The following is a 23,540-nucleotide window of genomic DNA, read 5'->3' as shown; positions in this document are numbered from 1 at the left end:
CAGGCTGGAGTGCAATGGTGTGATCTTGGCTCAATGCAACCTCCACCTCCTGGGTTCAAGGGATTCTCCTGCCTCAGCCTCCCAAGTAGCTGAAATTACAGGCATGAACTACCACGCCTTGCTAATTTTGTATTTTTAGTACAGATGGGATTTCTCCATATTGGTCAGCGTGGTCTCGAACTCCCGACCTCAGGTGATCTGCCCACCTCGGCCTCCCAAACTGCTGGGATTACAGACAGAAGCCACCACGCCTGGCCTGATTGTTTATATGTTTTTACACACAGATAGCAAATCACAGACACTTCTAGAGGTATTTAGCAGAATCCTACCATGGATTCAAGTCAATATGCCTAGGTCAGCTTTGCTTTTCTAAAACCAAATTAATCTTAGCAAAACTTTTATGTTGAGTGCTGAGTTGCTTGCATCTAGCTTATGTCCTAAGTATTAGATCAAGCATTTTGTTGCGAGCATATCAGCATACCACCTCAGTTCTAGGGCTTTCTGACTTGTAAATTGTTTGTTTGCTTTTTCTTTCAACTACTTATATGTTTGTTTTAATGGGGGAAAACATTGGGCAACTCTGTTTGGCAAAAATATAGAGTCAGTCATCAAAAATTTTATAATGATTGGCTACCAATTAAAATAAAGTTGGTTACCGTTGCCAGGAATAATACAACAAACAATAGGAAAATATCTAGATGATGAATTTCAAATTCTAAGAAGATTAATTAACATGTTGATCTATCTAACTCATAGTATTTTGAAAGCACTTGTTGATTACTAAAAGATGAAGATGGATGGACAGCAATGTGTTTTTGCTCAGTGCTGTCTATTTCTGTGAATGATGATCTGTCTTCTCAGGGCTTAAGAACATCTCCAGTGGGTGACTGAGATTATTGCAAAAAACCTTTGGCAGTTAGTAAAACTAGAATACAACTAGGAATATTTTTAGAGTGTGTGTGTGATCTGGGTATAATCTCACAAATTAACGGAACTTCAATTATTATAAACTGAAATTAAGTAATTAACATGTATATGCTGTGTTGGGGGGCACTAAGGGAAAACAGATACTTGTCCTAGAAAAACATTTCTGAGAATAAACTTCCTGTGAGATAAGTTTGTGTTTCGGGTTTAAATTTTGAAGCACAAAGTTTTTTTTAATTGAAAAAAAAAAAAGAGAACATCTCCAGTGAAATAAGAATAAACCAACCAACCACAGGAACTAAGCTAGTTAATGTGCTTGTTTCTGGTGGAGCAATATGTTGTTAAAAAAAATTAAAACCATGGCTGAGCATGGTGGCTCATGCCTGTAATACCAGCACTTTTGGAGGCCAAGGCATGTGGATCACGAGGTCAAGAGATCGAGACCATCCTGGCCAACATGGTGAAACCTTGTCTCTACTAAAAATACAAAAATTAGCTGGGCGTGGTGGTGCGTGCCTGTAGTCCCAAGCTACCCAGGAGGCTGAGGCAGGAGAATTGCCTGAACCCAGGAAGCAGAGGTTGCAGTGAGCCGAGATTGTGCCACTGCACTCCAGCCTGGGTGACAGAGTGAGACTCTGTCTAAAAAAAAAAAAAATAAAATAAATAAAAAGCTCAAAACTAAACCTCCATTAAAGTAATATCCTTAGCAAATAGGATTCCTTTTACATGTAATAATTCAGTTCACTCAACAAAGCAAACACTATTGGCTTGAAACCTGCATTTTCTGTTTTCGTAACTCAGACTGCATGAAATTCTGAGAACCTTTAAAGAGGTGTAGTAATTCATCCCCTGCTGTTTGGCATAAAGTGGGTGAAAAATTGGAAATAATTTTTGTGGTGAAAACTAATGGAACAAGGTTAGAAATAATAAATTATATAGAAGCATATATTACCTCTTTAAATGGATGTCCTGGCTGCAGATCCTTTGAGATTCTTTCAGCTTTTCCTGCTGCCTACCTGAGAAGGCCTAATGATCATTTCTAAGGACTGCTCAGTTTTTGGATTCATATATGGATGCAGCAAGGAGAAATTAGTTCATTATTTCAGATAAGCACCAGGCACTTGTGGGAAAAGCCCAATAGGGTTAGAATTTCCACTTTCTTGAATTATTTACATTAATTATGGTAATAAAGAAATGATTATTGAAATCTGAAGACTTCAGAACAGATTTAACATTAAGGCTAATTAAAGTATTGATATGGACAGGAGGCAGGGAAATACTGGGTAGAAGAAGGTGGGGTCCCTGGAGAGGGCTTCATCCTCAGGCCTGGACCCATGGCCCTAAATGAAAACATGCATTCCTGTTTTCCTGCCCAAATGTTGCCTTTTCCAAAATGACCCTGGCCCACCAAGCCCCCCATTCTGTACTCATAAAAGGCCCAAGCTCCACTGGCAGAGGAGCAGAGTGGCATGGCAGAGGAGGAGAGAAGAGAAGAAGCATCTGAACGTTGAGAAGAAGCATCTGAACGTTGAGAGGAGTTCAGTTGGGGATGGTTGGGAGGCACCCTGGCTCCTGCGCCTGCTCACCTGTGTGCTCCCCCTCCCGCAAGGGGAAGGTGAAGACTATCTTCCTACTCCATCCACTTTCTAGCTCCCCATCCTGCTGAGAGCCACTTCCATTGCTCAATAAAATCTTCTGCATACACCATCCTTTGATCCGTTCGTATGACCTGATTCTTCCTGGATGCCAGACAAGAATTCGAGATGCATTGGGTGTGGGGACCCAAAAAGGCTGTCACACTGACTCTTCACTGAGCTGTTCAGCACTTAAGCCATCCGTGGATGGGAAAGCTAAAAGAGCATTGTTTGTAACACATGCTTTCTGGGGCTCCAGAGGTCGCGGGCAACTCCTAGATGCTGCTGTGGGCTGGCTGGTGGCCAAAGGCACTTGCCCTGGCTCTTGCACCTGCTCACCTGTGTGCTCCCCTTTCCACAAGGGGTTCGAGGGTGGTAGCTGAGTAAAATGAGCCACACCAGTGTTGCAAGTCCCAGGAAGGGGTCAAGGGATCTCTCCCATCTCAGCGTTTTATCCAAAGTCTTTAAAAAGAAGTGGGTTGGATTTTATATCTATGACTTAATAGTATTTAGGGGAGAATAAGAACCCCCTGAATATAACTGACCAAACAAAAACCCAAACTCACAAAAATGAAAACACTCTATATACCAAATACAGAATTCTATGTTAACTGGTTTTGTAAGATGTCAGAAAGACCTGTGTTCTAATTTCTGTTCTGATTCAGTTGTTTAACTTTGGACAGCTTGATAGTCTCTCAGAGCCTCTGCTCCTCACTAAAAGAGGGAGTATAATATTTTACCAATAGAGATGTGGTGAGGAGTGAGAGAAGTGATCTCTGGGAGAGTGCCTGGACCACATGATTCATAAATGATTATTTAGGGCCCTCTTCTTTACCTTGAAGAATAGCCAGGGTTGACAGTTTAGGGTGCAGACACACAATTTGTTTCAGTGCTTAAGCCAAGTCCCATCTCCTCTTTACTCCTTCTGCTCCTGTACCCTCTCCTGCAGTGTGAATGAGAGAAGTTCTCTTCTTTTGATATACAGGTTTGGATAGAAGTAGCCAGGAGAGTGACCTGTCTGTCTTCTTTCTTGCTGTCCTGTGTCCTTGGTCTTGTTTACAGAAGGCTGTAGCCTCAGTGCTCTGGCCAAGCCAGGCTCTAGTGTTGAGTCATCATGACTGAGATAACATGGGGTGAGTTGACAAGCTATGTGGGGTGCTCAGAGCTGGTGTTTTCAAATTCTTTTGAACTGCTTTAGAGAGGGCACCAGCCTTGGTTTAGGCAAACTTCCTCCCCATGACAGTCAGACTTCTCCTCTAACCTTCTAGATGTCCTACGCTCTGTCAGGGCAAGGAGTGTGGTCCGGATGTCTGATTCTAAGAGGAAGTGCTTCTGTTCTTGCTTTCAGTTCTGATTCTGTCTTTAAACTTCAGGTTTTCTTTTTCCAGGGGGATTTAAATTATGTTACAAGCTTGCTGTAGGCCAAATGCTTTATATCCATTAACCCACTTAATTCTTACAATGGCCCTGCAAGATCTCATTTTACAGATGAGAAAATTGAGACTTTAATAGCTATTAGGACTTGTGCAAAGCAACATAGTGATAGTACTATTGAAGCCCAGATATGTTTTACTTGAAAGCTATTAAATATTTTCTCTCTCAATTGTATTTACCTTCTTCCCCCTTAATGCCACAGCCCCACAGGAGAGGTATCCTGGCCTGGGGCAAGTACTAATTTAAAGGATTAATTTGCCCAGTAAATCCCGAGATGGGTTCTCTTTCTCTAATGGTCTCATCCCTAAGATGTCATTATAAAAACTTTGCCAGCTGGGAAAAGATGCAAAGGACTCCATAGCATCAATGAGTACAGCATGTGCTCATAAAACTGGTGCTTTAAAAACAGCTACATTTTACTGAGAGAATTAAATAACCAAAAATCAAGGCCAAGTCTTGCAATTAAACAACTGGAGCTGCATTAATTATCTATGAACGGTATTCTGACGAGGTCTTTGGTTCTAAGATTTTGAAGGAAGCAAGAAGAGTACAGTATTCAGTGTTCTATGAGACAGAAGATCCGGTCTTCTCAAGTTAGAAGGTCTTTTTGGGAAAAGTTATGATAACTGAATTATTTTATTGTTTTGCTATTTAAAAAGCTCTTTTAAGCCTACAGAGCAGAACAAGCTGGCTCATCTCTGAGCACCAGGGCTAGATCAAAAGTGCATCAACTTTTTTGAAACCAAAACCAAAACAAACATAAATGATATTTCTTCTAAAATTGAAAAATAAAAATTAATGGGGAATAGTCTGGAAGATGGGGTAAAAAGAAGGACAATTGGATTTTTTTTTTTTTTTTTGGAAACAGTTTTACTTTGTTGCCCAGGCTGGAGTGCAGTGGCACGATCTCGGCTCACTGCAACCTCTGCCTCCTGGGTTCAAGCAATTCTCATGCCTCAGGCTCCTGGGTAGCTGGGATTACAGGCGCCTGCCACCATGCCTGGCTGTTTTTTTCTTTTTTTTGCATTTTAGTAGAGATGGGGTTTCACCATGTTGGCCAGGTTCGTCTTGAACTCCTGAGCTCAGGCAATCTGCCCGTCTCAGCCTCCCAAAGTGCTAGGATTACAGGTGTGAGCCACTGCACCCAGCCAGATTTTTTAAGAATTGAACTTTCGTTCAGAATTTGAACTCAGTGTTAATTGAATCTGTTTGAACTTTCATTCAAATGTAAAGGTCTGGTCCCAGGACTAGAAGAGTTACTGTAACATTATACGAGAGACTCTCCTCTGTTATTCACATTTAAGTTTAGCAATTGGTGCAACGGTATTCTCTTGCTAGTCTGAATGGATGTAGAAGCGTGCATGGACAGACAGTGAGTATAAACTGTTAGCCTCACCCAGAAATAATCTTAGAACTCACTGCAACAGATACAAATCTTATCTAACAAAACATTTGGGGCTTAAGGTGGCTTTTTAATTTCAAGCAGTATTCAACATGGCATACTTTTATTGTCTTAGAATTTATTTATTCTTTTAGATGTTTAAAACATTGAACAGATGAGAACACTGAGGCCCAATATGACAACACAAACCCCTCTAGTTGGCTAACTTTAGCTGTGGGTTTAATCTGTGACTGTCAAGTAACTTGATTCTGTAGCAGCTGCAGAACAAACAACATAGGCTTTGGAGTCAGGTTCTATTTATATTTGTGGCCTTTGGAAATGCATTCGTAATTCTTAAAATTTATTGTACATACAAATAACATGGGGATCTTGTTGAATGCAGATTCTAATTCAGGAGGTCCAGGGTGAGGCCTGAGATTCTGTATTTCTAACAAGTTCTCAGATAATGCTGATGCTGGGGGGGTCTAGGACCACACTTTGAGTATCAGAAAATTATCTAAACCTTAATTTTCTCATCTGTAAAACAGGGACAGTGATGACTGCCTAGGAAGATTATTGGCAGCATTAAATGAGTCCATGAGGTGAAGCATCTGACATATAGGAGGATTGCCACAAATATAAATGTGCCTACTCTTCCCTTTCACCTATTTTGTTCCTACTTAGCTCAACAGTTTGTTCAACTCTTTATGCAAGTTTTCTCAGCCCGTTTTCACTAGGGCCATTTCCATATTTGTGTGGCATAATCAGGTTCATGGCAGAAAGGCATGTATGGTTCACTAAGAGCTCATCTTTGTCCTCTTTCCTGAAATCAGTGTTTTATGTTACATCCAATGTTATATGGAAAATCTAAGCCAAATGTGAATGTTCAAAATTGAGTTGATGTGCAAGTTGCTCAAAATAGCTTTAAACCTTTACTTAACCATTAACAAAAAATTATTATTTGGGATCACAAAACAAAACCTAATTGTATTCTTATAAGAAACACTTTTATTTATTTATTTATTTATTTATTTTTTATTTTTTGAGACAGTCTCGCTCTGTCGTCCAGGCTGGAGTACAGTGGCGCAGTCTTGGCTCACTGCAACCTCACCTCCTGGGATCAGGTGATTCTCCTGCCTCAGCCTCCCGAGTTGCTGGGACTACAGGCTTGTGCCACCAGGCCCAGTACAATACAAAAAAAAAAAGTACAATAACTTTTGTATTTTTAGTAGAGATGGGGTTTTGCCATGTTGGCCAGGCTGGTCTTGAACTTCTGGGCTCTAGTGATCTGCCTGCCTGGGCCTCCCAAAATGTTGGGATTACAGGCGTGAGCCACCACGCCCAACCTAATTTTTGTATTATTAGTAGAGATGGGGTTTTGCCTTGTTGGCCAGGCTGGTCTCAAACTCCTGGCCTCAAGTAATCTGCCTACCTTGGCCTCTCAATGTACTGGGATTATGGGCATAAGCCACCACGCCCCGCCAACAAACACTTTTAAAATAAATGGTTTCAAAATGGTTAGAAATAAAAGAATGTGCAAAAGCATACCAGGCAATTCAAACATAAGCCAAATGAGGATTCTAATCTTAATATCAGACCTGTTAGAAGTCAATTCACAAACTGTTCCTGAAAGTAAATGAAAAAAAAAACACTTCCTTGCCCATCCTCTGAGGCCAGTATTATCCTGATACCCAAGCCAAAGATATCACAAGAGAAGAAAACTACAGGTCAGTATCCATTAGGAATGTAGATGCAAACATAATCCTCAACAAAATACTAGCAAACAAAAGAGAATTCTACACCATAATCAACAGGGATTTATCCCACGAAAGCAAGATTGGCTTAACGTTTGAAAATCAATTAATGTCATATATCACATTAATAGAAAAAAAGGACAAAATCACATGATCATTTCAATAGATGCAGAAAGAGCATTCAATAAAATCCAGTACCTCTCAAGATAAAAATACTACAGATAGAAGGGAAATTCTTCCAATTTGTCAAAGGGCATCTATGAAAGACCTACAGTTAATGCTACATTTAATAGTGAGAGTGCTTACTTTCCCTCTAAGATCAGGAACAAAACAAAGATGTCCACTCTCATGACTTCTATTTAACTTTGTAGTAGAGGTTCTAGCCAAGGTTAATTAGGCAAAAAAAAAAAAAAAAGGAAAAGAAAAGACATTTGGACTGGAAAGGAAGAAGTAAAACTATCTCTAGTTTTACTTTACAAAAGTAATAACATTGCAAATGTCATGATCATGTCTATAGAAAATCTAAAATAATCCACTAAAGACCTATTAGGACCAATAAATAATTTCAGCAACATTGCAGGATGCAAGATCAATATAATAAATCAATTGCATTTCAATACATTAGCAACAAACAATCTGAAAATGAAATTCAAGAACAATTTCTTTTATATAGCATCAAAAAGGATAAAATACTTAGGAATAATTTTAACAAGAATTGTAAGACTTGTTTACTAAAAACTACAAAACTTTGTTGAAAGAAATGAAAGATCTGAATAAATGGAAAGACATTCTATGTTCATGTATTGGAAGACAATATATTAAAATATCAGTACTCCCTAAGTTGATCTATGGATTCAGTGCAACCTCTATCAAAATCCCAGAAATTGACAAGCTGATCTTTAAATTCATGTGGAAATGCAAGGAACGTAGAATAGCCAAAACAATCTTGAGAAGAATGATACAATTGGAGTACTCACACTTGCAATTTCAAAACTTACTACAAAGCTGTAGTAATTAAGACAGTACTGCTATAAAAATAGACATTGAGATCAATGAAATAGAATTTAGAATTGACCATAACTTTTTTTTTAACTTATGTGACACTGAGAATTTTGTTAGCAATGAATGTGACACTGAGAATTTTATTAGTAATGGCATTTTTTTTTATTTGACACTAGAAAACTTAAAGACAATAATATGCCCTATCCCACCCCTATATATACCAGGCTTTGTGGTGTGAAGTTAACACGTATTTTTTTATTATTATTATTTTAAGTTCTAGGGTACATGTGCACAACGTGCAGGTTTGTTACATATGTATACATCTGCCATGTTGGTGTGCTGCACCCATTAACTCGTCATTTACATTAGGTATATCTCCTAATGCTATCCCTCCCCCCTCCACCCACCCCCTGGCAGGCCCCAGTGTGTGATGTTCCCCACCCTGTGTCCAAGTGTTCTCATTGTTCAATTCCCACCTATGAGTGAGAACATGTGGTGTTTGGTTTTTTGTCCTTGCGATAGTTTGCTGAGAATGATGGTTTCTAGCTTCATCTATGTCCCCATAAAGGACATGAACTCATCCTTTTTTATGGCTGCATAGTATTGCATGGTGTATATGTGCCACATTTTCTTAATCCTGTCTATCATTGATGGACATTTGGGTTGGTTCTAAGTCTTTGCTATTGTGAATAGTGCTGCAGTGAACATACGTGTGCATGTGTCTTTATAACAGCATGATTTATAATCCTTTGGGTAGATGCCCAGTAATGGGATGGCTGGGTAGAATTGACCCTAACTTTTATGCTCAATTGACCTTTGAAAAAGAGGCCAAGACAATTCAACTGGGGGAAATAATAGTTCTTCAACTAATGGTGTTGGGGAAACTGGATATCCACAGGCAAAAGATTTAGATGCTAAAAAAAAATAAAGCCAGTAAATGCTAAAATAAAAAGTTGAGGAAAGTCCTTTGTAACTTTGGAGTGGAGAATGACTTTTTATTATGACTAGAAACCTAGAAGCCATAAAAGATTGATAAATTCAATTATTTTTGAAAATGCAAGCAAATTCCACGACAAGTAAGGCTTAGAGACAAATGATACTTGGGAAAAATTGTTGCAAGTCATATCAGAAAGGATTAATTTTCCTAAATATATAAAGAGCTCCTGAAAATTTCACTTCTAATAAACACTTAATACAAGTTTACTTGTACCCATGTGAAATGGCATAGGAACAAAGGATTGGAAATATATTATCAAATGGAATGTATTTTGGCAGCTACAAAAAAGAATGTCAAGACTCTACATAGATATGGAAATGTCACTAAGTTACATTGTTAATTGAGCAAAGAAAGAGTGCATAAATAACATTTTTCTATTTGTATAAAATGGGAGAAAAATAAGATTGTATATTTGCATTTGCTCTTTTATGCAGAAGGATACACAGGAAATTAATAGTAGTGGCTTACCTGCAACGGTGAGGACTGTATGGTACAAGTGGATAGATGGGAAATGGGGTAGAAGAAGGAGAATTTATTATTTATTATTTTTTGAAAGTGTTATGTATTTAAATATTACATTGAATTTTTAAAAAGAGCTCCGAACTACTTTGTATTCTACTTTGAAATTTTTCAGACTTAAACAAATAGTGCTTTTTCAGTCAAGCAACAGGGGTCATGGCTGCCCCCTGCATCTCCACTCCCTGACTGCATCTCTGCTGGCTCTGCTGACTCCTCACTCTCAGGCTGGTGCAACCCCGATCCCACCTTGACCTGCTTTTCTGGTCTCATTTCTTCTGTTCCTCCCTGCTCTTCAAAAGTGTATGCTGTAGCACCAACCCTACTAAAAACCTGTCCCAAACATACACACACACACGCGCGTGCGCACACACACTGGCACATGCACACACACGTGCGTGCACACACACAGGCACGTACACACACACAGGCACATGCACACACACGCACACAGGCACATGCACACATACACGCACACACACACAGGCACATGCACACACGCACACACAGGCACATGCACACACACGCACACACACACAGGCACATGCACACACACAGGCACATGCACACACACGCGCACACACAGGCACATGCACACACACGCACACACACAGGCACATGCACACACAGGCACATGCATACACACAGGCGCATGCACACACACACACACACACGCATTCCTCTCCCTTCCACTATGCCAACCTCTTTTGTGCTTTTGAGTCTTTGCTCACACAGAAAAGAAAGCCAGTGTGGAAGATCTCAAAGGTCAGTGTATCAATAACCCATTTCTTTAAAAAAAGTTTTTATTTTTCCCTTCGAGATAATTCAACCTTGCCCAAAGGCCTAGCTGTCATCTCTAGCAAGCCCCAGCTAGATGGCCCTGGTACTTTCTCCCACTCTCTTTTTCTTCTGGGTTGTATCCTAGGGCTGCCATGACAAGTACTACAAAATGAGTGGCTTAAAACAATAGAAATCTACTTTTTCATAGTCTAGAAGTCTGAAACCCAGGTGCCAACAAGTTTGGTTCCTTCTGGAGGCTCTGAGGGAGAAACCATTCCGTGTCTGGGATGGCAATAGTAGCTTAAAATGCTGACCTCTGTAGACATCCTTGAAGCTAGTGATGGCCATGTGTCCCAGGTCTGGCAATGAAAAAATATAGACAGAAGTTTGCTGAGTGCAAGACCTAGAAAATCTGTTATTTTCCTAAAAACAAGGGATAGGCTCAACTAACATATAAGTTTGCCCTTCACTCTTCCTACTCCCTCTTGATTGCACTGTGGATGTGATGTTTGTAAATACAGCAGTAATCTTGTGGGCATGTTGCAAAGAACAACAAGCCAGGGGTGGCTGAACAAAGACAGGTAGAAGAAGCCTCATTCTTTGATGGGTTAAAGGAGCTACCATTAGGGTTAAAGGAGCTACCAGTTGTGGCAGTCCACAACTGACTTGGTTTGTCTTTTTTTTTTTTTTTTTTTTTTTTTTTTTTTGAGACAGTGCTCTGTCTCCCAGGCATTGTGTCCAGAATTGATGGGTTCTTGGTCTCACTGACTTCAAGAATGAAGCTGCGGACCCTCGCAGTGAGTGTTACAGCTCTTAAGGTGGCGCGTCTGGAGTTTGTTCCTTCTGATGTTCAGGTGTGTTCGGAGTTTCTTCCTTCTCGTGGGTTCGTGGTCTCGCTGGCTCAGGAGTGAAACTGCAGACCTTGGCAGTGAGTGTTACAGCTCTTAAGGCGGTGCGTCTGGAGCTGTTCCTCGCGGTGGGCTCGTGGTCTCGCTGGCTTCAGGAGTGAAGCTGCAGACCTTCGCAGTGAGTGTTACAGCTCATAAAAGCAGTGTGGACCCAAAGAGTGAGCAGTAGCAAGATTTATTGCAAAGAGTGAAAGAACAAAGCTTCCACAACGTGGAAGCAGACCCGAGCTGGTTGCCACTTCTGGCTGGGGCAGCCTGCTTTTATTCTCTTATCTGGCCCCACCCACCTCCTGCTGATTGGTAGAGCCCAGTGGTCTGTTTTGACAGGGCGCTGATTGGTGCCTTTACAATCCCTGAGCTAGACAGAAAGGTTCTCCACGTCCCCACTAGATTAGCTAGATACAGAGTGTCAACACAAAGGTTCTCCAAGGCCCCACCAGAGTAGCTAGATACAGAGTGTGGGTTGGTGCATTCACAAACCCTGAGCTAGACACAGGGTGCTGATTGGTGTGTTTACAAACCTTGAGCTAGATACAGAGTGCCCATTGGTGCATTTACAATCCCTGAGCTAGACATAAATGTTCTCCACGTCCCCACCAGACTCAGGAGCCCAGCTGGCTTCACCCAGTGGATCCCGCCCGGGGCTGCAGGTGGAGCTGCCTGCCAGTCTGGCGCTGTGCGCCCGCACTCCTCAGCCCTTGGGTGGTCGATGGGACTGGGCACCGTGGAGCAGGGGGCGCCATGGAGCAGGTCCCGAGCCCTGCCCCGCGGGAAGGCAGCTAAGGCCTGGCGAGAAATCGAGCGCAGCGCCGGTGGGCTGGCACAGCTGGGGGACCCAGTACACCCTCCGCAGCCGCTGGCCCGGGTGCTAAGGCCGGCAGGGCCGGCAGGCTGCTCCGAGCGCGGGGCCCGCCAAGCCCACGCCCACCCGGAACTCCAGCTGGCCCGCAAGCGCTGCAGGCAGCCCCAGTTCCCGCTCGCGCCTCTCCCTCCACACCTCCCTGCAAGCTGAGGGAACCGGCTCCGGCCTTGGCCAGCACAGAAAGGGGCTCCCACAGTGCAGCGGTGGGCTGAAGGTCTCCTCAAATGTCGCCAAAGTGGAAGCCCAGGCAGAGGAGGCGCCCAGAGCGAGCGAGGGCTGTGAGGACTGCCAGCACGCTGTCAGCATGATCTTGGCTTACCGCAACCTTTGCCTCCCAGGTTCAAGCGATTCTCCCGCCTCAGCTGAGGCTACAGGCATGCGCCACTGTGCCCAGCTAATTTTTGTATTTTTAGTAGAGACAGGGTTTCACCATGTTGGCCAGGCTGGTCTCAAACTCCTGACCTCAGGTGATCCACCCGCCTCGGCCTCCCAAAGTGCTGGGATTACAGGTGTGAGCCACTGCATCTGGCCTTTTTTTTTTTTTTTTTTTTTTTTTAAATTGAGATGGAGTCTCACTCTGCCGCCCAGGTTGGAGTACAGTGGCGCCATCTTGGCTAACTGCCACCTCCGCCTCCCAGGTTCAACCAATTCTCCTGCCTCAGCCTCCCAAGTAGCTGGGATTATAGGCGCCCACCACCATGCCTGGATACTTTTTTTTTTCTATTTTTAGTAGAGACGGGGTTTCGCCATATTGGCCAGGCTGGTCTCCACCTCCGGTGATCCGCCTGCTTCTGCCTCCCAAAGTGCTGGGATTACAGGCCTGAGGCACCGCGCCTGGCCTGAAGAATCTTTTCAAATGCAACAGGGAGAGGGATAGTTGTATCAGAATGTTTTCAACTGTAAGTATTCAAGGTAGTTGGAAACAGTAAAGAAATGTATTACCTCACATAACAAGAAGTCCCAAGATAGAGTGGCTCCGGGGTCAGTTAATTCAGTGACTCAAAGATGTTATCAAGGGCCAGTTTTGTTTTAATCTTCCACTCTGCTATTTTCAGCATGTTGACTTGATCTCTCTCTCTCTTTTTTTTTCTGTTTGCTCCCTTTGTGGTTGTAAGAGGCTACTGAAGATCCAGGCCTCAGTGAGATATGACAATATCCAGTGGAAACAGAGTGAATGTCACTTTTCTTGCATTTTTTAAAACCAGTAACTAAAACCTTTCACAGAAGCCATGTCACACTTCATGTCTTTTTGTCCTAATCCAAGCATTGGCAAGAAGAATTAATTCATTTGTTCACTCTTCATATATTTATTGAATGTCTATTATGTGTCACTAGAGCTAGGAAACCTCAGATGGCAAAACAGGTAAAAATCATACAGCTTATATTCTATGGGAAGAGATAAAAAAGAACCAAATGACTAAAGTGGTGATAAATATTATTGGGATAAAAGTGCAATGGGAAAGGGAGATAAGTCATGCTGGTTAGGTAGCAGTAGGGAAGGGACCAGATAATTGGGTTTCACCAGTGAGAAAACATCGCCTGGGGCTGGAACTGAGGCTAAAGATCACCACACCTGAAGCAGATGGTCCCTTGGAAAAGGAAAGTGAATAAAAATGAGGTTCTCTTAGGAAGAAGAAAGTGAGAGACAGTTGTTAGATAGGCAATTACCAGTAAGGGCAAGCTGTGGAAGTTGTGGGACACAGTTCAAAATGAAAATGCAGAATTGTTATTCAAAAAGTAGGAAAAAGTATCACTAAAGGACAAAAATATAACTGTCTTTTTACTTTCTTTCAGTCTTTTTGTTGACCTCTTATGATGGTTTTAATTTGCTATTTAATATCTTTATAGGTAAAGAAAAATTGAAAATTTAAATTATTAGCATGTATTTTATTATTCATTTTGATATTGTATAATGCCTGTTTTACATGCAAACATAAGAGCATTTAACTAATATGTGGAATCACCAAAACTATAGTTCCTATTTTTGTGGCTCCTACATGGATACACATTTTATTCTTACTAGAACAGTGGAAATGATGCACAAAACAAACTCAGTTGTCTTATTTCATTTCCTTTTTTTGAAATTTTATTTTTGAGATGGAATCTGGCTCTGTTGCCCAGGCTGGAGTGCAGTGGCACAATCTCGCCTTGGCTCACTGTAGCCTCCACCTCCTGGGTTCAAGTGATTCTCCAGCCTCAGCCTCCTGAGCAGCTAAGATTACAGGTGCACGCAACCACACCTTGCTAATTTTTGTATTTTTATGGAGATGGAGTTTCACCATGTTGTCCAGGCTGGTCTCAAACTCCTGACCTTAAGTGATCTGCCCTCCTTGGCCTCCCAAAGAGCTGGGATTACAGGCATGAGCCACCGTGCCCGGCCTTATTTCATTTCTTTTCTTTCTTTCTTTCTTTTTTTAAAATTATACTTTAAGTTCTAGGGTACATGTGCACAACGTGCAGGTTTGTTACTTATGTATACATGTGCCATGTTGGTGTGGTGCACCCATTAACTCGTCATTTACGCTAGGTATATCTCCTAATGCTATCCCTCCCCGCTCCGCCTACCCCATGACAGGCCCCAGTGTGTGATGTTCCCATTCCTGTGTCCAAGTGTTCTCATTGTTCATTTCCCACCTATGAGTGAGAACATGCGGTGTTTGGTTTTTTGTCCTTGCGATAGTTTGCTGAGAATGATGGTTTCCAGCTTCATCCATGTCCCTACAAAGGACATGAACTCATCCTTTTTTATGGCTGCATAGTATTCCATGGTGTATATGTGCCACATTTTCTTAATCCAGTCTATCATTGATGGACATTTGGGTTGGTTCCAAGTCTTTGCTATTGTGAATAGTGCTGCAGTGAACATACGTGTGCATGTGTCTTTATAACAGCATGATTTATAATCCTTTGGGTATATACCCAGTAATGGGATTGCTGGGTCAAATGGTATTTCTAGTTCTAGATCCTTGAGGAATCGCCACACTGTCTTCCACAATGGTTGAACTAGTTTACAGTCCCACCAACAGTGTAAAAGTGTTCCTATTTCTCCACATCCTCTCCAGCACCTGTTGTTTCCTGACTTTTTAATGATTGCCATTCTAACTGGTGTGAGATGGTATCTCATTGTGGTTTTGATTTGCATTCCTCTGATGGCCAGTGATGATGAACATTTTTTCATGTGTCTTTTGGCTGCATAAATGTCTTCTTTTGAGAAGTGTCTGTTCATATCCTTTGCCTACTTTTTGATGGGGTTGTTTTTTTCTTGTAAATTTGTTTGAGTTCTTAGTAGATTCTGGATATTAACCCTTTGTCAGATTTTCTTCCATTCCATAGGTTGCCTGTTCACTCCAATAGTAATTTCTTTTGCTGTGTAGAAGCTCTTTAGTTTAATTATATCCCATTTGTCAATTTTGGCTTCTGTTGCCATTGCTTTTGGTGTTTTAGACAGAAAGTCCTTGCCCATGCCTATGTCCTGAATGGTATTCCCTAGGTTTTCTTCTAGGGTTTTTATTGTTTTAGGTCTGACATTTAAGTCTTTAGTCCATCTTGAATTAATTTTTGTATAAAGTGTAAGGAAGGGATCCAATTTCAGCTTTCTACATATGGCTAGCCAGTTTTCCCAACACCATTTATTAAATAGGGAATCCTTTCCCCATTTATTGTTTTTGTCAGGTTTGTCAAAGATCAGATGGTTGTAGATGTGTGGTATTATTTCTGAGGGCTCTGTTCTGCTCCATTGGTCTATATCTCTGTTTTGCTACCAGTACCATGCTGTTTTGGTTACTATAGCCTTGTAGTGTAGTTTGAAGTCAGGTAGTGTGATGCCTCCAGCTTTGTTCCTTTTGCTTAGGCTTGTCTTGGTAATGTGGGCTCTTTTCTGGTTCCATATGAACTTTAAAGTGGTTTTTTCCAATTCTGTGAAGAAAGTCATTGGTAGCTTGATAGGGATAGCATTGAATCTATACATTACCTTGGGCAGTATGGCCATTTTCACCATATTGATTCTTCCTATCCATGAGCATGGAATGTTCTTCCATTTGTTTGTATCCTCTTTTGTTTCGTTGAGCAGTGGTTTGTAATTCTCCTTGAAGAGGTCCTTCACATCCTTTGTAAGTTGGATTCCTAGGTATTTTATTCTCTTGGAAGCAATTGTGAATGGGAGTTCACTCATGATTTGGCTCTCTGTTTGTCTGTTATTGGTGTATAAGAATGCTTGTGATTTTTGCACATTGATTTTGTATCCTGAGACTTTGCTGAAGTTGCTTATCAGCTTAAGGAGATTTTGGGTTGAGACGATGGGGTTTTCTAAATATACAATCATGTAATCTGCAAAGAGGGACAATTTGACTTCCTCTTTTCTTAACTGAATACCGTTTATTTCTTTCTCCTGACTGATTGCCCTGGGCAGAACTTCCAACTCTATGTTGAATAGGAGTGGTGAGAGAGGGCATCCCTGTCTTGTGCCAGTTTTCAAAGGGAATGCTTCCAGTTTTTGCCCATTCAGTATGATATTGGCTGTCGGTTTGTCATATATAGCTCTTATTATTTTGAGATATGTCCCGTCAATACCGAATTTATTGAGAGTTTTTAGCATGAAGGGCTGTTGAATTTTGTTGAAGGCCTTCTCTGCATTTATTGAGATAATCATGTGGTTTTTGTCTTTGGTTCTGTTTATATGCTGGACTATGTTTATTGATTTGAGTATGTTGAACCAGCCTTGCATCCCAAGGATGAAGCCCACTTGATCATGGTGGATAAGCTTTTTGATGTGCTGCTGGATTCGGTTTGCCAGTATTTTATTGATGATTTTTGCATCGATATTCATCAGGGATATTCATCTAAAATTCTCTTTCTTTTTGTTGTGTCTCTGTCAGTCTTTTTTGATGCTGGCCTCATAAAATGAGTTAGGGAGGATTCCCTCTTTTTTCTATTGATTGGAATAGTTTCAGAAGGAATGGTAGCAGCTCCTCCTTTTACCTCTAGTAGAATTCGGCTGTGAATCCATCTGGTCCTGGACTTTTTTTGGTTGGTAAGCTATTAATTATTGCCTCAATTTCAGAGCCTGTTATTGGTCTATTCAGGGATTCAACTTCTTCCTGGTTTAGTCTTGGGAGGGTGTATGTGTCCAAGAATTTATCCATTTCTTTTAGATTTTCTAGTTTATTTATGTAGAGGTGTTTATAGTATTCTCTTATGGTAGTTTGTATTTCTGTGGGATCGGTGGTGATGTCCCCTTTATCATTTCTTATTGCGTCTATTTGGTTCTTCTCTCTTTTCTTCTTTATTAGTCTTGCTAGCGGTCTATCAATTTTGTTGATCTTTTCCGAAAACCAGCTCCTGGATTCATTGATTTTTTGAAGGGATTTTTGTGTCTCTATCTCCTTCAGTTCTGCTCTGCTCTTAGTTATTTCTCACCTTCTGCTAGCTTTTGAATGTGTTTGCTCTTGCTTCTCTAGTTCTTTTAATTGTGATGTTAAGGTGTCAATTTAAATATTTCGTGCTTTCTCTTGTGGGCATTTAGTGCTCTAAATTTCCCTCTACACACTGCTTTAAATGTGTCCCAGAGATTCTGGTATGTTGTGTCTTTGTTCTCACTGGTTTTAAAGAACATCTTTATTTCTGCCTTCATTTCGTTATATACCCAGTAGTCATTCAGGAGCAGGTTGCTCAGTTTCCATGTAGTTGAGTGGTTTTGAGTGAGTTTCTTAATCCTGAGTTCTAGTTTGATTGCACCGTGGCCTGAGAGACAGTTTGTTATAATTTCTGTTCTTTTACATTTGCTGAGGAGTGCTTTACTTCCAACTATGAGGTCAATTTTGGAATAAGTGCGATGTGGTGCTGAGAAGAATGTATATTCTTTTGATTTGGGATGGAGAGTTCTGTAGATGTCTATTAGGTCCGCCTGGTGCAGAGCTGAGTTCAATTCCTGGATATCCTTGTTGACTTTCTGTCTCGTTGAACTGTCTGATGTTGACAGTGGGGTTTTAAAGTCTCCCATTATTATTGTGTGGGAGTCTAAGTCTCTTTGTAGGTCTACAAGGACTTGCTTTATGTATCTGGGTGCTCCTGTACAGGTACATGTATATTTAGGATAGTTAGCTCTTCTTGTTGAATTGATCCCTTTACCATTATGTAATGGCCTTCTTTGTCTCTTTTGATCTTTGTTGGTTTAAAGTCTGTTTTATCAGAGACTAGGATTGCAACCTCTGCCTTTTTTTGTTCTCCATTTTCTTGGTAGATCTTCCTCCATCCCTTTATTTTGAGCCTATGTGTGTCTCTGCACATGAGATGGGTCTCCTGAATGAAGCACACCAATGGGTCTTGACTCTTTATCCAATTTGCCAGTCTGTGTCTTTTGATTGGAGCATTTAGCCCATTTACATTTAAGGTTAATATTGTTATATGTGAATTTGATCCTGTCATTATGATGTTAGCTGGTTATTTTGCTCGTTAGTTGATGCAGTTTCTTCCTAGCATCGATGGTCTTTACAATTGGCATGTTTTTGCAATGGGTGGTACTGGCTGTTCCTTTCCATGTTTAGTGCTTCCTTCAGTAGGGCAGGCCTGGTGGTGACAAAATCTGTCAGCATTTGCTTGTCTGTAAAGGATTTTATTTCTCCTTCACTTATGAAGCTTAGTTTGGCTGGATATGAAATTCTGGGTTGAAAATTCTTTTCTTTAAGAATGTTGAATATTGGCCCCCACTCTCTTCTGGCTTGTAGAGTTTCTGCCGAGAGATCAGCTGTTAGTCTGATGGGCTTCCCTTTGTGGGTAACCCGACCTTTCTCTCTGGCTGCCCTTAACATTTTTTCCTTCATTTCAACTTTGGTGAATCTGACAATTATGTGTCTTGGAGTTGCTCTTCTCAAGGATTATCTTTGTGGTGTTCTCTGTATTTTCTGAATTGGAATGTTGGCCTGCCTTGCTAGGTTGGGGAAGTTCTCCTGGATAATATCCTGCAGAGTGTTTTCCAACTTGGTTCCATTCTCCCTGTCACTTTCAGGTACACCAATCAGACGTAGATGTGGTCTTTTCACATAGTCCCATATTTGTTGGAGGCTTTGTTCATTTCTTTTTACTCTTTTTTCTGTAAACTTCTCTTCTTGCTCGTTTCATTCATTTGATCTTCAGTCACTGATACCCTTTCTTCCACTTGATCGAATTGGCTACCGAAGCTTGTGCATTCATCACGTAGTTCTCGTGCCATGGTTTTCAGCTCCATCAGGTCATTTAAGGACTTCTCTACCCTGGTTATTCTGGTTAGCCATTCATCTAATCTTTTTTCAAGGTTGTTAGCTTCTTTGCGTTGGGTTCATACTTCCTCCTTTAGCTCGGAGAAGTTTGATCATCTGAAGCCTTCTTCTCTCAACTTGTCAAAGCCATTCTCTGTCCAGCTTTGTTCCATTGCTGGCGAGGAGCTGTGTTCCTTTGGAGGGGGAGAGGTGCTCTGATTTTTATAATTTTCAGTTTTTTTGCTCTGTTTTTTCCCCATCTTTTTGGTTTTATCTAGCTTTGGTATTTGATAATGGTGACGTACAGATGGGGTTTTGGTGTGGATGTCCTTTCTGTTTGTTAGTTTTCCTTCTAACAGTCAGGACCCTCAGCTGCAGGTCTGTTGGAGTTTGCTGGAGGTCCACTCCAGACCTGTTTGCCTGGGTATCAGCAGCAGAGGCTGCAGAACAGTGAATATTGCTGAACAGCAAATGTTGCTGCCTGATCGTTCCTCTAGAAGCTTCGTCTCAGAGGGGCACCTGGCTGTGTGAGGTGTCAGTCTGCCCCTACTGGGGGGTGCCTCCCAGTTAGGCTACTCAGGGGTCAGGGACTCACTTGAGGAGGCAGTCTGTCCATTCTCAGATCTCAAACTCCGTGCTGCGAGAATGACTACTCTCTTCAAAGCTGTCAGACAGGGATATTTAAGTCTGCAGAGGTTTCTGCTGCCTTTTGTTTGGCTATGCCCTGCCCCGAGAGGTGGAGTCTACAGAGGCAGGCAGGCCTCCTTGAGCTGCAGTGGGCTCCACCTAGCTCGAGCTTCCCAGCTGCTTTGTTTACCTACTCAAGCCTCAGCAATGGCAGGCGCCCCTCCCCCAGCCTCGCTGCCACCTTGTAGTTCAATCTCAGACTGCTGTGCTAGCAAAGAGGGAGGCTCTGTGGGCGTGGGACCCTTCGAGCCAGGCACGGGATATAATCTCCTGGTGTGCCGTTTCCTAAGACTGTTGGAAAAGTGCAGTATTAGGGTGGGAATGATTCGATTTTCCAGGTGCCATCTGTCACAGCTTCCCTTGGCTAGGAAAGGGAATTCTCTGACCCTTTGCACTTCCTGGGAGAGGCGATGCCTCGCCCTGCTTCGGCTTACACTTGGTGGGCTGCACCCACTGTCCTGCACCCACTGTCCGACAAGCCCCAGTGAGATGAACCCGGTCCCTCAGTTGGAAATGCAGAAATCACCCGTCTTCTGCGTCACTCATGCTGGGAGTTGTAGACTGGAGCTCTTCCTATTCGGCCATCTTGCTTCTTTTTTTGAGACAGAGTCTTGCTCTGTCGCCCAGGCTGCGGCTCACTGCAACCTTTGCCTCCTGGGTTCAAGCGATTCTCCTGCCTCAGGCTCCTGAGTAGCTGGGGTAACAGGTGCGCACCACTGTGCCTGGCTAATTTTTGTATTTTTAGTAGAGATGGAGTTTCACCATGTTGGTCAGGCTGGTTTCGAACTCCTGACCTCGTGATCCGCCCACCTTGGCCTCCCTAAGTACTGGGATTACAGGCATGACCACCGCACCTGGCCTTATTTCATTTCTTAATAGGTGCACGTTCTACCCATAGTTTCTACTTGTTATTTATTGACAAGTAAGGAAGTTACAGAAAGGAAAAGAAATTATGGCCTTTCCTATCTTTCCCTTTCTTTCTATGTTATTCGTTTCCAGCATAAGTGGTTAGCTAATATAGGAAAGTAACATGAATAAGAAAGGAAATGGTAGGATCTCTTGATTGTTTGTGTTTCTTAGAATGTCTTTGTCTTCTTTCTGCATTTATTGCAGGATTTGGTTTGAATGTAAAGTTTGGGGGTTTCAGCACTCCTGTTACTCGGTCATAGATGTAACACACTTACCTTGTACTTCGTATGAGTCTCCACAAGCTCTTACATGCTGTGGGTCCAACTGAACACTGTGCTCATGGGGCATTGCTTTTTCCAAATTTTAGATTTCTGAGCAAAATAAATGCTACATTTTTAAAGCTATGAAATTTTGTGGCGGTTTGTTATGTAGTGATAGTAACTGGAATATATACCAAAATAGGTCTGTACCTTTGAAAATGTAATCTCCTCAGTCATGACTCTCAATAACGAAAGTGATGTTACATTAGAATCAAGTGGGTCACATTTTCAAAATATAGCAAAAGTCCATGACGGTATAGTCTATGATAACATGAATTTGGATATAACAAAATTGACTTCTGTCCTCCACCCCACCTTGTTCTCAAAATCCCCATCATATTTAACTTGGAGAAGAAAACCACCACCTGGAGTGCCAAACTGCAACGGGGACCTAGACAGATTCAGATTGTGCCACTGGAGCCCTGGAATTGGATTGCTGGATAGACTCACTGTGTTAATTTATTTAATCTTGGATCAAGGTAATACTAAATTTTATGTTATGGAATATTTTGTACCCAACTTACTATGTTACAGTGGGGTTTTATGTATGGCTGACCGAATCAATCTTTCCAAATTCATTTCCTCTTCCTAGATCCACAGGTAAACTACATTTTCCAGGGACTTTGAGTCAATGTGTGGCAGTATGACTAATTCTTGCCAATAGAATGTGAGCAGAAATGAGATGACATTTCCAGTTGAGACAGTTATGAATGTGCCTTCTCATTTTTTTCTCCCCTTGTTGTCAACTGGATGGCACATTGTTGAAAATGGGGGATGCCCAGCATGGAAGAAGACTGAACCATCACTTAGAGGAGAGCTGCTTACCCCTCACTGGGTTGTGGCATGAACAATAAATACACTTTTAAGATACTGAAATTTGGGAGTTTTAATTTTCACTAGAGCATAGCCTAGTCTATGTAAGGAATTTAAAGGGGATTGCTGCTGTAACCCTAAAATATGTGTTATTGGCTTAATAGTTGAATACTGGAGAGTGAGGAAACTGGTATTCGGGGCTGCAGAGATGGCAGATCTATGGTATAGACTGGTAAAGTATTTGGTAAAACTGCTTCCTGTAATATCTTGGGAGGTAGGCCATGGCCCTACTGAGCCAGCAGCTCTGGGGGAAATGATTATAAAGAGCCAAAATGTTATTGCATGTTGGTTTCTATTTGCTGCATTTTGGGAAAGTATTACAAGAAAGGGATGAGGTTAGGAGATAATTGGCGGGTGTAACCAGAAATAAAAGAAATAAAGAGACTGTAAAAATTTGGGGCATTGAAAGGTTGGAAAAATCCAACGGCTTCTAGGCTCCCAAATGTAGGTAATAAGACAGAGGCAAAGTCCTTGAACGACAGGCAAAGATTAGGTTAAGAACATAGCTATTCCATTCAAGGTTGATATCTTCAAGGTAACCTGTTTTTATTTATTTCAGAGAAAGAGATATGATGAGTGAAGGAGTAAAAAGAAAGGCAGGTTTGAGAAAGAACTTTGGGTTCTTATTAACGTAAGGCATGGGTTTATTGCAAACATATCATTCTTTGAGAAAATTATATTGCCACATAATCCAATCTTGGAGCGTTTCAGACTTAAACGAACCCTTAGGCTCCTAAAGGTCCACATGCAGGAGAAGTAGGCTATAAAATTTGTCCAGTCCCCAAGAAGGACAGGACATACACCTTCAGATGCTTGAAACAAGGAGAATAGGTTAGCTGGGCGTAGTGGTGCACACCTGTGGTCCCAGCTATCAGGAGTCTGAGGTGGGAGGATTGCTTGAGCCCAGGAGGTTGAGGCTGCAGGGAGCCGTGTTCATGCCACTGCACTCCAGCCTGGGTGACACAGCGAGAGACCCTGTCTCAAACAACAATAGCAACAACAATAACAACAACAAGCCAGGAGAATAGAAAAGAGAGAATCTCTCACAGTGCTGATCCAGGGACTAGAGAAAATGAGGAAATTCTTCCCAGGGGGCAAAAAACAGGGGCTTAATGGAATTTCTTCCACAGGGCAGAGATAGGTGTCTACCCAGATGATTCCACAACTGCTATGAACTAGTGATTGTTGTGTATCTTTCATTCTTTCCTTTTTCAAATGGAGTTTTAAAAATTGGCAAAAATTTTATACACTGTGGAATGGCAAAATCAAGCTAATTAGCATATTCATTACCTCACATACTTTTGTTTTTTGGTAATGAGAACACTGA

General features: G+C 41.7%; 1 long non-coding RNA gene across 1 annotated transcript, besides 2 other annotated features; it reads left to right on the top strand.

Moving 5' to 3' along the window:
- Positions 3,722-3,801: a silencer, noted in NCBI's record as "silent region_11331". NCBI's record gives its function as "represses an Ori minimal core promoter by ATAC-STARR-seq in GM12878 lymphoblastoid cells {active_cell/tissue: GM12878}" and the evidence as "EXISTENCE:reporter gene assay evidence [ECO:0000049][PMID:35858748]".
- Positions 11,727-12,234: an enhancer, noted in NCBI's record as "H3K27ac-H3K4me1 hESC enhancer chr2:32028873-32029380 (GRCh37/hg19 assembly coordinates)". NCBI's record gives its function as "activates a minimal SCP1, AML or CMV promoter by ChIP-STARR-seq in primed H9 embryonic stem cells {active_cell/tissue: H9 hESC(primed)}" and the evidence as "EXISTENCE:reporter gene assay evidence [ECO:0000049][PMID:30033119]".
- Positions 12,058-22,217, top strand: LINC01946 (long intergenic non-protein coding RNA 1946). Its single transcript, NR_146994.1, has 5 exons — positions 12,058-12,080; positions 12,923-13,091; positions 21,695-21,819; positions 21,933-21,940; positions 22,123-22,217. It is a non-coding gene; the product is annotated as a long intergenic non-protein coding RNA 1946 (long non-coding RNA).
- Positions 22,218-23,540: the final 1,323 nt, after the last annotated feature.

This window comes from Homo sapiens, chromosome 2 (genome assembly GCF_000001405.40).
Source record: "Homo sapiens chromosome 2, GRCh38.p14 Primary Assembly".
Taxonomy (NCBI): Eukaryota; Metazoa; Chordata; class Mammalia; order Primates; family Hominidae; genus Homo; species Homo sapiens.
The sequence above is the reverse complement of the archived record's forward strand: the minus strand, read 5'-3'. Positions and strand labels throughout refer to the sequence as shown.